The sequence below is a fragment of the Homo sapiens genome, chromosome 17 (assembly GCF_000001405.40).
Source record: "Homo sapiens chromosome 17, GRCh38.p14 Primary Assembly".
NCBI lineage: Eukaryota > Metazoa > Chordata > Mammalia > Primates > Hominidae > Homo > Homo sapiens.
Window position 1 is genome coordinate 41,468,407 of NC_000017.11, and position 13,164 is coordinate 41,481,570.

At 47.2% G+C, this 13,164-nt stretch overlaps 1 protein-coding gene across 1 annotated transcript; it reads right to left on the bottom strand.

Moving 5' to 3' along the window:
- KRT35 (keratin 35) lies at nucleotides 8,304-12,745 on the bottom strand. Its single transcript, NM_002280.6, has 7 exons — nucleotides 12,221-12,745; nucleotides 11,293-11,375; nucleotides 10,941-11,097; nucleotides 10,428-10,589; nucleotides 9,955-10,080; nucleotides 9,112-9,332; nucleotides 8,304-8,797 (listed from the first exon to the last, which is right to left on the bottom strand). Exons 1-7 carry the CDS (start codon nucleotides 12,689-12,691, stop codon nucleotides 8,650-8,652), a joined length of 1,368 nt encoding a protein of 455 aa, NP_002271.3. The 5' UTR covers nucleotides 12,692-12,745; the 3' UTR covers nucleotides 8,304-8,649.

Genomic DNA, 13,164 nt, shown 5'->3' on the forward strand with positions numbered 1-13,164 from the left:
GATGGGGAAGGCTCACTTCAGGATCTCAGACTATGGAAGCAGTGTGAATCCACTCCCTTGGGAAAGGATGTTCTATAGCCCTGGAATGAGCTAAGCCAGGAGACAGGGAGCATATTTGCCCAACTATAGAAGCCCTGGGCATTCACTTAAGAAGGCAACATGCTAGAGCAGTGGTTTTCAGTCCTGGCTGCAAAAGCTGTGAGCTTCACATTTAGTATGTGTGTGCTATATAGCCACTTTTTTATTCAGTAATCTTCTTGATATAATTTTGGGGTATAAGTACTTGCCTTATGTTTCACATATTCCCAGAAATGTCAGTACAAGAACAGGAAAGGGAAAATGCCACCCAGCTCATTCATTGCATAAGAAAAGGAGAGCGTAGATATACTGCCTCTGACTTGCCATTTGGCCTTGGGAAAGTAATTTTGTCTCTCCAGACCTCAGTTTCTTCATGCCAATCGAGGGGGTCAGATCAAATACTCTCACAATTTGATTCTCTGCAACAACTACAAATTCCAGTACCTTGTCTGGATTACCTATTTAGAGAAGATTATAGCATCAGATGGAAGGAGGTGTGATGGCAATACCAACTACAAGGGATGAGACTCATCAGGCCACCCTTCAGAATCATAGCCAGCACTTGTGGAATGTATACAAATACCAGGCATGGTGCTGAGTGCTTGGCATTAATTTGCCCATTTAATCCTCTCACCCAAAAACTATAATTATTATAATAAGGTGTTATCAGTCACTCTCAGCATCAACCTGACTCAGGAACATGTTAGAAATGTGAGTTTTCACCCTAGAAGAAAGTCTAGGCAATACCATTCAGGACATAGGCATGGGCAAAGACTTCATGACTAAAACAGCAAAAGCAATTGCAACAAAAGCCAAAGTTGACAAATGGGATCTAATTCAACTAAAGAGCTTCTGCACAGCAAAAGAAACTGTTATCAGAGTCAGCAGGCAACCTATAGAATTGGAGAAAATTTTTGCAATCTACCCATCTGACAAAGGTCTAATATCCAGAATCTACAAGGAGCTTAAACAAATTTACAAGAAAATAACAAACAACCCCATCAAAAAGTGGGCAAAGGATATGAACAGGCACTTCTCAAAAGAAGACATTTATGTGGCCAAGAAACATATGAAAAAAAGCTCATCATCACTGGTCATTAGAGAAATGCAAATCAAAACCACAATGAGATACCATCTCATGCCAGTTAGAATGGTGATCATTAACAAGTCTGGTAACAACAGATGCTGGCAAGGCTGTGGAGAAATGGGAAAGCTTTTACACTGTTGGTGGGAGTGTAAATTAGTTCAACCATTGTGGAAGACAGCATGGTGATTCCTCAATGATCTAAAACCAGAAATACCATTTGACCCAGCAATCCCATTACTGGGTATATACCCAAAGGATTATAAATCTTTCTACTATAAAGACACATGCACAAGTATGTTTATTGCAGCACTATTTACAATAGCAAAGACTTGGAACCAACCCAAATGCCCATCAATGACAGACTGGATAAAGAAAATGTGGCACATATATACCATGAAATACTATGCAGCCATAAAAAAGAATGAGTTCGTGTCTTTTGCAGGGACATGGATGAAGCTGGAAACCATCATTCTTAGCAAACCAACACAGGAACAGAAAACCGAACACCACATGTTCTCACTCATAAGTGGGAGTTGAACAATGAGAACACATGGACACAGGGAGGGGAACATCACACACCAGGGCCTGTCGGGGGATGGGGGGCAAGGGGAGAGAGAGCATTAGAACAAATACCTAATGCATGCGGGGCTTAAAACCTAGATGATGGGTTGATAGGTGCAGCAAACCACCATGGCACATGTATACCTATGCAACAAACCTGCACATTCTGCAAATGCATCCCAGAACTTAAAGTAAAATTTTTAAAAAAAAGAGTGTGATGTTCCCCTTCCTGTGTCCATGTGTTCTCATTTGTTGTGGGGTGGGGGGACGGGGGAGAGATAGCATTGGGAGATATACCTAATGCTAGATGACGAGTTAGTGGGTGCAGCACACCAGCATGGCACATGTATACATATGTAACTAACCTGCACATTGTGCACATGTACCCTAAAACTTAAAGTATAATAACAATAAAGAAAGAAAGAAGGCATAGATGTTGCAGTTTTTAAATATTTGCTATTTAATGTTGTTTTATTTAAACAATGTAGATACACTGCTTTGATAAAAATAAAAATAAAATGTAAAAAAAAAAGAAATGCAGTTTTTCAGGCTCATCCCAGACTGGCTGAATCAGAAACTCTGAGGCTGGGGCTGGGATGCAGCAGCCTGTGTTTAGCATGTCCTTCAGGTGGTTTGGAGACCCACTGAGATAGAGGAAGATACAGGCATACCTCAGAGATAGTGCATGTTCAGTTCTAGACCACCACAATAAAGCAAATGTAACCATAAAGTGAGTCACACAAACTTTTTGGTTTTTCTGTGTATGTAAACATTATATTTACACTATACTATAGTCTATTAAGTGTACCATAGCATTATGGCCTAAAAACAATGTATATAACTTAATTTTAAAAATGCTTTATTGCTAAAAATGCTAAGGATCATCTGAGCCTTCAGCAAGTTATAATCTTTTTGCTGGTGGAAGGTCTTGCCTCAATGTTGATGGCTGAGGACTGATCAGGGTGATGATTGCTGCAAGTTAGTGTGGCTGTGGCAATTTCTGAAAATGAGACATCAGTGAAGTTTGCCGCATCAGTTGACTCTTCCTTTCATGAAAGATTTCCCTGTAGCATGTGATGCTGTTTGATAGCATTTTAACAGTAGAAATTCTTTCAAAACTAGGGTCAGTCCTCTCAAACCCTGCCACTGCCTTATTAACTAAATTGATGTAGTATTCCAAATCCTTTGTTGCCATTTCAGTGATGTTCACAGCATCTTCACCAGGAGTAGTTTCCATCTCAAGAAACCACTTTCTTTGTTCATGAATAAGAAGCAGTTCCTCATCCGTTCGTTTTGCCATAACATGGCAACAATTCAGTCACATCTTCAGGCTCCAATTCTAATTTTAATTCTCTTGCTGTTTCCAACACATCTATAGTTACTTCCTCTGCTGAAGTCTTAAGCCCCTCAACATCATACATGAGAGTTGGAATCAACTTCTTCCAAACTCCTGTTAATGTTGATATTTTGACCTCCTCTCTTGAATCACAAATATTGACATATAGAATAGTGAATCCTCTTCAGAAGGTTTTCAATTTACTTTGCCCAGATCCATCAGAGGAATCACTCTGTATGGCAGCTATAGCCTTATGAAATATATTTCTTAGGTAATAAGACTTGAAAGTCAAAATTAGTTTTTGATCCATGGGCTGTGGAATGGATGTTGTGTTGGCAAACACAAAAACATTAATCTCCTTGGACAGCTCCATCAGGGCTCTTGGGTGATCAGATGCATTGTCAATGAGCAGAAATATTTTGAAAGAAACCTTTTATTCTAAGCAGTAGGTCTCAACAGTGGGCTTAAAATATTCAGTAAACCATGTTATAAACAGATGCACTGTCGTCCAGGCTTTGTCGTTCCGTTTGTAGTGCACAGGCAGAAAAGATTTAGCATCATTCTTAAGTGCCCTAGGATATTCAGAATGGTAAATGAGCATTGACTTCCCACTTGAAGTCATCAGCTGCATTAGCTCCTAGCAAGAGAGTCAGCCCATCCTTTGAAGGTTTTGAAGGCAGACTCCTCCTGTCTAGCTATGAAAGATGCCGCCTCCCTAAACTTCATCATTTCTAGCTTTTTATTTAAAGGGAGAAACCTGCAACTTTTCCTTTCACTTGAACTCTTAGAAGCCACGGTAGGGTTATTAATTGGCCTAATTTCAATATTGCTGTGTCTCAGAAAATAGGTAGACCCAAAATAGGGAGAGAGATGGGGGAATGGCCAGTTGGTGGAGCCATCAGAACGCACGCAACGTTTATCAGTTAGGTTCCCCATCTTATCTGGGCATGGTTTGGTGCATCCCAGAACAATTACAACAGTAATATCAAAGATTACTGACCACAGATCACCATAACACATACAATAATGAAAAAGTTTGGCCAGCCGCAGTGGCTCACACCTGTAATCCCAGCACTTTGGGAGGCTGAGGTGGGCAGATCACTTGAGGTCAAGAGTTCGAGACCAGCCTGGCCAACATGACGAAACCCCATCTCTACTGAAATTACAAAAATTAGCCAGGCGTGGTGTGCCTGTAATCCCAGCTACTTGGGAGGCTGAGGCACGAGAATTGCTTGAACCCAGGAGGCAGAGGTTGCAGTGAGCCGAGATCACGCCACTGCACTCCAGCCTGGGCAGACAGCCAGATTCTGTCTCAAAAAAAAAGAAAAAGAAAAAATTTGTATTGTGAGAATTACCAAAATGTGACACAGAGACACATAAGCACATGCTGTTGGAAAAATTAGCACCAACAGACTTGCTCTAGGCAGGATTGGCACAAAACTTTAATTTGTAAAAAAAAAAAAAAAAAAAGAAAGAAAAAAGAAAAAAAAACGATATCTGGGAAGTATAATAAATTGAAACTCAATAAATCGAAGTGTGCCTGCATATATTTTAACAGCTGTCACCAGAATTCATCTTGCAGGAAAAAAAATGTCTTTACTTGGGAAACTACATTAAGAAGATCTTGGGTTAAAAGGTGGGACCCTAATGCCTTGATTTGGCTGGTAAGACATCAGAGGGTGAAAGGAGAGAAGGATTTGAAGTTCACAGGACAATCCTGGAAGGAAGGAATGAGGAGGAGAGAGACAGGAACCAGGAGCAGGGGCTCCAGGATGATGCTGAGAGGCTGTCGCTGTGAGGTGCAGTCCCAAATGCCAGCGTGAGCAGAGTTTTCCGTTGTGAAGGAAAGACCAGGTTTCATATAAAAGCAGATTGAGGCCAGGTGCAGTGGCTCACACCTATAATCCCAGCACTTTGGGATGCCCAGGCGGGCAGATCACGAGGTCAGGAGATCAAGACCATCCTGGCTAACACGGTGAAACCCCGTCTCTACTAAAAATGCAAAAAAATTAGCTGGGCTTGGTGGCGAGCACCTGTAGTCCCAGCTACTTGGGAGGCTGAGGCAGGAGAATGGCGTGAACCCGGGAGGAAGAGCTTGCAGTGAGCCGAGATTGCGCCAGTGTACTCCAGCCTGGGCCACAGAGCGAGACTCCGTCTCAAAAAAAAAAAAAGAGCGGATTGATAAAGGTAGTAGCAGCAGCATCCAAAGTCACAGAAGACCACAGTTCCAGGCAATATGCCAGATCTGGGGTATGTCGTGAAGATGGAGAAGTAGGGTCTAGGAAAGGTAGCCACAGAGAAAGTGGGGCACTGTCAGTTCTCAGGCCCAGGTCTGGCTGATCCAAAGACTTTCCACTGTACCCCAACCTCTCTGGGGCCAGAGCAAACTATCAGGAAAATAAGTTTAGGAAGAGAAGAGAAAGGGATGCAAAGAATCCAGGAGGAAGGGCCTGTTTCAACAAAAGCAGATAGGATGTGTGTCACAGCCTGGGCCAGCACTGTCTCCCTCCATTCATTCCCCCGCAGAAAACCAGAGGCTCCTTCTTTGGAAAAAAAATAAAACTCCAGAGAAAAGACTTACAGAAACTGAACTGAGGTGGTTGTACCATGCAAAAAGCCGGTTTTCCAACCTGCCCATCCACGTAGCACCTTCTATCAGCTTTTTAGTGTCTCGTCATAAAATATAAACAAAAGGATGACCAGATACTTGAAGGAAGCTTCCAATATTAAAGACAAAGTAAAACAAGCAAACAAACAAAACAGTAAAAAAGGAAATTGAAGAAAACAGAAATAATGCAGAATCCAAAACTGTATATATATATATTTTTTAAATAACCTCAGAGTGGGAGAGATGTATATACATATAGCAGTTATAGCCATGAAACAAGAACTAAATGTTATAAAACAGGAGCAAACAGAGAAAAAAAATGACTTTTTGGAGAAAAAAATATAACAAATTTAAAATGCAGTTCAAAAATTTGAAGTCGAAAGAGAGAGAAATGCCAGAACTGAGAAAGTCAAAAGCATAATAGGGACCAGACCTGGGGGTGCTAGGGTCTATGTCAGAGTTGCCCTGAGCCCTCTGCACTCCCAGCTGTGTTGCCAAAAGTTCCTCTACCTGACAAATGACCTCTCAACCCTGGCTGCATGTTCAAATCACCCAGAGAGCTTTCAAAAATCCCAGTACCGAGTCATATCCCAGACCAACTAAAGCAGAATTTTGGGGGGTCAGAGCAGTCATCGGTATTTTTTAAAGCCCTCCAGGTCATTCCAATGTACAGGCAAGGTTGAGAACTTGTAGTTGAATGGAAACAGCGTTATAATTAAAAAGCACAAGCAAATGAAGTAAATAATAATTAGAAGTAGGATTACAGATGATTTAGTTAGCTACATCTTGGAGGAAGCTAGGATGGGTTTAGAAAGGATTTGTGCCACAGAGAATGCCATAAAGAAGGGCGTGACCTATACACAGCAGAGTTAACCGAGCCCAAGTGCTCCAGATAGCATCCACGTGCTGCTGGCCATGAGGCTCCCCGCTGACTTTGCTCAGAGTTGGAATTAGATAATGAAGCATGTAACTGCATATTCACTTTAGCTGGCCTGGTTTACCGGGAAGGAAACGTCAGAAGTGAAACTCTGGCCAGGGAAATGTGGATGCCCAGCCTCATAGCAATCCAGTCGTCCAGCTGGAAGGGAGAGTTGGTGGTGATGAGCCATCTTCAAATGCCCTGCATATGCTGGGCAAAGCATTCTCGGCCTCACTTCACAGCATAAGTGTCATGTTCTCTATTTAACTGAAGCTCAGAAATGGACAATGACCTGCTAAACCTCCCACATGTAGTTAGTGGTGGGTGGGGATTTGAACCCAGGTCCATCTGACTCCACATTCGGAGCCCACGTTTATTGCACTAATGTCAAGGTCCGCTTCAGCCAGTCTACTGACACCACTGAGATAGAAAAGAAAAAAAGTGGCAAGTGAGCATCCTTCCAGTCCCATCCCAAGGCCCCCCTCCTACACAGACCAGTCCTCCCCTGGCAGCTAACACACCCCCTGGCACAGGGACATGCTTTGTAAGGGCTTGTTGAATGAAGTGAATGATCCTGAGGCGACCACCCCTTTCCGGTGCCTAAGCCTCACCAAAATTAGCCAAGGGGTTCCAAAAAGACCAACACGGAGGTGACGCCAGATGCCAGGAGCAAGGTGGGGCTGGGAGCAACCAAAGGCCCAGGCCCTCTTTGCAGGGGGCTAGAAAGGAGAGGATTCTGTGTTCAAATCAGAGGGAACTATAGCAGATGTCCTTAAGGGACAAGGGTCTCTGGCTTGCCTTAGTCAGCATCTTCCAGCCACCTGCTCTCCCTTTGGACGTGGCTACAGCTCTCTTAACATCACTGAAGCTCCTTAGCAGGTGCTCTCAGCATCTTATGAGGAGCACATGCCAACTGGGAACGCACATCCTCGTTTTTTGCTCAGAAACTTTGGTCTTGGCCCTTCTCCCTTTCCCACTGGGATTAAGGGAACTTGCTATTTGCCTTGCCTGTTTGGGGAGGACATTCTGGACACAGATGAGAGCCTTTGGGTCAAGCTGCTGGGAGCTCTCACACCCATCTGAGGAGGGCTCGTTGTACACCTCACCAGATGCCAAGAGCACAGGAGCACATGCACAAGCCTCCTAAGGACAAGAGCCTTAGCATTCGGGATAGAAGCCCTGAAGGCGAGCACACTCTCCATCTCCTGCTTATGATGGGCTGTGGATTGTTAAGGGGGTTGCTGAACTTGGAGGGCTGCATGAAAGGGCTGCAATGGTAGGGGGCTTATGTAAATGCACCCCTAAAAGTACCCTGGGAGGGAGACACCCTATCGCCGGTCTTACAAGGACCACAGACAAGAGGCTGATAAAGTGGCCTAAAACCCTCCCTGTTATGCTGATCTCAGTTTCCATCTCAGTTTTGTCCCTCCCACTCTGGGATCCCCAGGTGACCACGTATACTAAGAGGGATTCCACAGCAGTCTGAAAACACCTGGCACCACACTGGAATCTTGGAGAAAGGTCTTCATCAGGGAAGCCAAGCAAAAGCTCTCACTGTAGGCCTCTACCCACCCCAAACAGGGGCATAGTGACCCTGTCATCCAAAGGGTCATACTTGGTCACACATCTCCCATTCGGCTGCCCAACAGTCACCCCCTGGACACAGCAGAGACACAAGCCAACAACACCAGAATGGTGCAAGTTAGGCATCAGGGGCCTGAGCAAATGCACTTTATTGTTCTGCCAACAAAAGCCCTCTACTGCATTTCAGAATCCACCGGAACAGCACCTAGAAGGAAAACCTGACCCAGGAGGCAGCCTGAGAACAGAGACCCTGGCACCCATTGAAATGATGAGGAGTTGAGACCTTTGGGGGCAGCCGGCCTTTGTGACAGGCTCTGAGAAACTTTAGGGCATGTATTTGCAGAAAGCCTTTTCAGCCAGACCCTGGGCCTGGGCTCTGCGCGAAGAGAGGGGATTGGGCTACAAGGGTTAAGTTTGGGTAGAGGCCAAGTTCAAGCCCTGGAGACAATAGCCATGGCCATCTGGGTCACCCGCTCTCAGAACCGACCCCCTGGGCAGGGCACACAAATGGGGCGGGGGCTGCAGTTTGTGCGGGCTGCACTAGGACCGCAGGAGGCCGCAGGAAGACAGGGAAGGCATGACTTGGAGGGTGAGTAGTCAGGTGCACATGGGTTACAGGGGAGCCTAGAAAAAAGAAAACAAATTACTGTGATTTTCCAGTTGCTGTTTGCAGTAACTCAAAGTAGATCCTAGACTATGCAAACTGGGAAGCACCCTAAAAACCACCTTGATCCTGCCCCCTTGTTTTACCAAAAGGGAAACAGGCCCTGAGAGGAAAGGGGGCTTGCTGGAGTCACGTGATGAGTTTTCAGGAAGACCAGAACTAAGAGAACAGAACTCCAGACTCCGAATGCCAGGCTCTTTCTAGGCACCATGCTGTCTTCCCAGAACTTGGTAGATTGCAGTGAGAAGACAAGAGCACATGCAGTGATACTCACTTGCTGTCCTCACTCTCCAGCAGGCCCCGGTACGTGTTGATCTCACACTCCAGCCGGGCCCGGACGTCCAGCAGCACCTGGTACTCCTGGTTCTGCCGCTCCAGGTCAGCCCGGATCTCGGCCAGCTGGGCCTCCACGTTGGTGATCATGCACTGCATCTGGGCCAGCTGGGAGCTATAGCGGGCCTCCGTCTCTGCCAGGGTGGATTCCAAAGCATCTCTCTGTGAGGGCAAGAGTTGTGTAGGGAGGAAAAAGGCTAGAGGTCAGAGAAGGAGCAAGGAAGGAATCTTCCTTGGAGCTATAGCGGGCCTCCGTCTCTGCCAGGGTGGATTCCAAAGCATCTCTCTGTGAGGTCAAGAGTTGTGTAGGGAGGAAAAAGGCTAGAGGTCAGAGAAGGAGCAAGGAAGGAATCTGGGTCTCAGTGAGGCCTCAGAATCCAAGAACAGAAGCTCGGAGAATCAGAGTTTGAGCTAGGATGAACCACAATCAGACATCTCACTTGAGATGAGCTAATTAGCCCCTGTGGCTTCTTTGATCTAGAAAGTATCTCCCTGTTAGTGTCATCTCTGAGTAACTGATAGTTACTCAGAAGATGTATCTGCTTGCACAAATATAGGACCTACTGCCTGGACATGTCAGTTGCTACAGGTCTCTTGTCCTTTACCACTGGGGGATTTGTGACTGGAGCTGGTCCCTCATTCCCTCTTTTCTGCATAGAGAACCCCTGGTGCTCAAGAACATGGACCCCTGGAGTCCGCCTGTGTGGTCAAAGCATGGAAGCTGGGGAGCTTGTGTGCTCCTCGGCTTGGTCCAGAGGCAGCTCCACCCTGCCTTGGGGCTCACCATGCTGTGCTGAGCCTGCAGCTCAATCTCCAGGGCGTTGACCGTGCGTCTCAGCTCGATGATCTCTGCCTGGCAGGACTGCAACTGCTCTGAGCTGGACACCACCTGCTGGTTCAGCTCCTCACTCTGAAACATACACACACAGAACCTGGTCAGCCACACCAGGGACTTGGCTTCAGAGAGCTACAGAGGCCGGTTAGAATCATGAGCCAAGAAAGACATTCCCGATTCCCCAGTCCCACTCATTTATTTTATACTGGAGGGCATTGTTGCTCAGAGGACAGCAACCTGCCCAAGTGGGTCTGTTTTGACCTTGTCAGCAAGGTCAATTGAAGTGGGTCTGTTTTGACCTTGTCAGCAAGGTCAAAACAGAGATGGGACTCAAAGTTAGATTTCTTGATTCAGAGCCCCAGGGTCACTTCCATGTGAGCCACCACATACCCCTGTTGCACTGACTGTTTCCAGGTACCTACCTGGGTGTCCAACCAGTCTTCAGCATCCCGGCGGTTATTCTCCACCAGGGTTTCATACTGGCACCTCATCTCCTCCAGAACTCGGTTCAGGTCAACAGGTGGGGCAGCGTCCACCTCAACATTGAGGCGGTCACCAAGTTGGCAGCGCAGTGAGTTCACTTCCTATAGCACAGACCAGGATGAGTACTAATTCCCAGAGGGCTGCCTCCAAGGTTCACCTCCTCCTCATGTTCACCTCCTCCCCATGCTCACCCCTCCTAATGCTCACCTCCTCCCCATGCTCATCTGCTCCCCATGCCCACCTCCTCCCCATGCTCACCTCCTCTGCATGCTCACCTGCTCTCTATGCTCACCTGCTCCCCATGCTCACCTCCTCTTCCCTATGCACACCTGCTCCCTCATGTTCACCTCCCCCTATGCTCACCTCATCCCCAATGCTCACCTCCTCCCCATGTTCACCTCCTCCCCCATGCTCACCTGCTGTGCCGTGTTCACCTTTTCCCCCATGCTCACCTCCTCATGGTTCTTCTTCAGGCAGAGCAGCTCCTCCTTCAGGGACTCCACCTGGGCCTCCAGGTCAGACTTGCACAGGGTCAGGTCATCCAGGATCCTGCGCAGGCCGTTGATGTCTGACTCCACCAGCTGCCGCAGGGACACCTCCGTCTCATACCTGCAGGCATAGAACAGGGCACCTGAGTCTGCATTTCCTTTTTGCATCTAAGTCAGGCCTGCCCTCAGACTGTCCAGGTGCTGTGAGTCCTGCTTTTATGCCCCAATGACAGAGTACAGCCAAAACCCTGAGCTCAGGCATCACCTGTGTCCAGTTCTAGCAGCCCCCAACCACATGACAAGCAGGACAACTCACTTGGTCCTGAAGTCATCTGCAGCCAATTTGGCATTGTCAATCTCCACCACCAGCCTGGCATTCTCAGCCTTGCTGCATAGAGTCTGGAGATATGAAGAAGTTATTTCATTGCAAGAAAGGACATTCCACTTGTTGGAGCTCCCTAAAGCTGACAAGGGCTGACTCTGGAAGGAGGAAGTCACCCATCCTAGACCTCTGCTACTCCATGTGCATTGGAGTGTTATGGGCAGGCTCTAGGGATCAACTATGGAAAGTCCAGGGTTTCTTCCAGTGCAGTGTATCTGTGACCTGTTACTCAGGTTAGATAGCTGCATGAAAATGCAACAGGAAAGGCCTGGCATGATGAAATGAGGCTTCTTCCAATCTCCCTGTCTCCCAGGCCTACTGGGGGCCCAGGGCATTTCATTGCCAACAACATACCCCGGGATTCTCTGGTCATAAATGGTCCCTCACAGGAGCCAGCTATAACTTTGGGCCAGGCGAGAAGTGGATATGGGCCCTTGGCAAGAAAGAAACTTCTCTGACAGGCATTTTCTTCCCTGAGTTACTTATGGGAAGCCTGAACTGCACTGCACTAAATACATCAAACCCAATCCCCTGACTTTAAATAAAAGAGGAAATGAAAACTCAGAAGACTCAGAGGATTGGGCAATACCACCAAAGGTCACAGAGTTCATTCATAGACCTGATGTTCAAGCTCTGGCTCCAGTAACTGCCATCTGGGTCGCTTACCCAGCCTGAATCTCAGTGTTCTCAACTGTATAATGGGCTAATGATACCTCCCTCTTAAGGTTATTGGGAGGAGCAAATGAGGCCACAGAGATGAACATGCTTGGTGACTTCCAACATGCCCTATGGGAACAGAACTACCAATGAATGCTGGTGACACAAAGTTCCTGGGAATCCAAAGCCACTCTGAACCTCTTACCTTCTTCTGGAGCTCCTCGATGGTCCGGAAGTAGGACTGGTAGTCAGGGCACATGTAGGGGACCTGCTGCTCACACCACTCACGGATGCGGCTCTCCAGGCTGGCGTTCTCCTGCTCCAGCTGACGCACCTTCTCCAGGTAGCCGGCCAGGCGGTCGTTCAGGGATTGCATGGTCTCCTTCTCATTGCCAGTGAGGATGCCCTCCCCAAACCAGCCCCCACCCCCACTGTAGCTGGTAGCGAAGCCTCCAGCAGGGAGGCAGAGAGCAGGGAGGCAGCTGGTGGCCCTGTAGCTGCTTCTGCCCAGACCCACTGAGCAGGCAGAGAAACTTCTGGCCACAGGGGAGAGACTTGGAAGCTTGCAAGAGCTGCTGGAGTACATTGCGGACACACGAGTGGAGCCCCCACTGGCCCCTCCTGGGCTCTTGAGAGACCCAGAAGAGAAGCCGGCCTTGAGGCATTTGGAAGCCATGGCCCCTGCAACTCAGATGCAATTGATAGGTCTCTGAGGCCAGACACCCCAAAGCAGAGAAGCAGCTCCTTACCCCAGATTTATATCTCTGCCCCAGTGGGCATTGGTTGGCCTTTACAAAGTGTTTTCTCCTCATTAAAGTTAACACCACTTTCTATTAAAACCCCTCATTAACCTGTTATTTAGTTTCCTGTGAAAATTTACCAGTCTCATAAAATAGGAGCCCCATTACTATGTCAAGACTCATCTCCACCACCCCACATCACTGGGAAGACCAAGTCCCTGTCAGTTCTTCAAAGGGACCTGTCATTTGAGCCCAGACCTCAGCCTCCGCATTAAGCAAGCATGGGAGTTCAGCCACTGTCTTGACTTTCTCCAACTTTGACTTCTTTTATTGGCCTGAGGGAGTAGAGGAGGTCTCTGGGGTGCTCCCAGAAGATGGAAGGGTAAACTTGGTTGGTGCAGGAAGGCAG

Bases quoted from the DNA above. Each gene is read 5' to 3' on its own strand.
- KRT35 (NM_002280.6), bottom strand. From the start codon at position 12,691: ATGGCTTCCAAATGCCTCAAGGCCGGCTTCTCTTCTGGGTCTCTCAAG. The intron at 9,333-9,954 runs GTGAGCCCCAAG...TTGCCCTCACAG, and splicing joins TGCAGGCTCAGCACAGCATG to AGAGATGCTTTGGAATCCAC. The intron at 8,798-9,111 runs GTGAGTATCACT...TCTTTTTTCTAG, and splicing joins CTGGAGAGTGAGGACAGCAA to GCTCCCCTGTAACCCATGTG.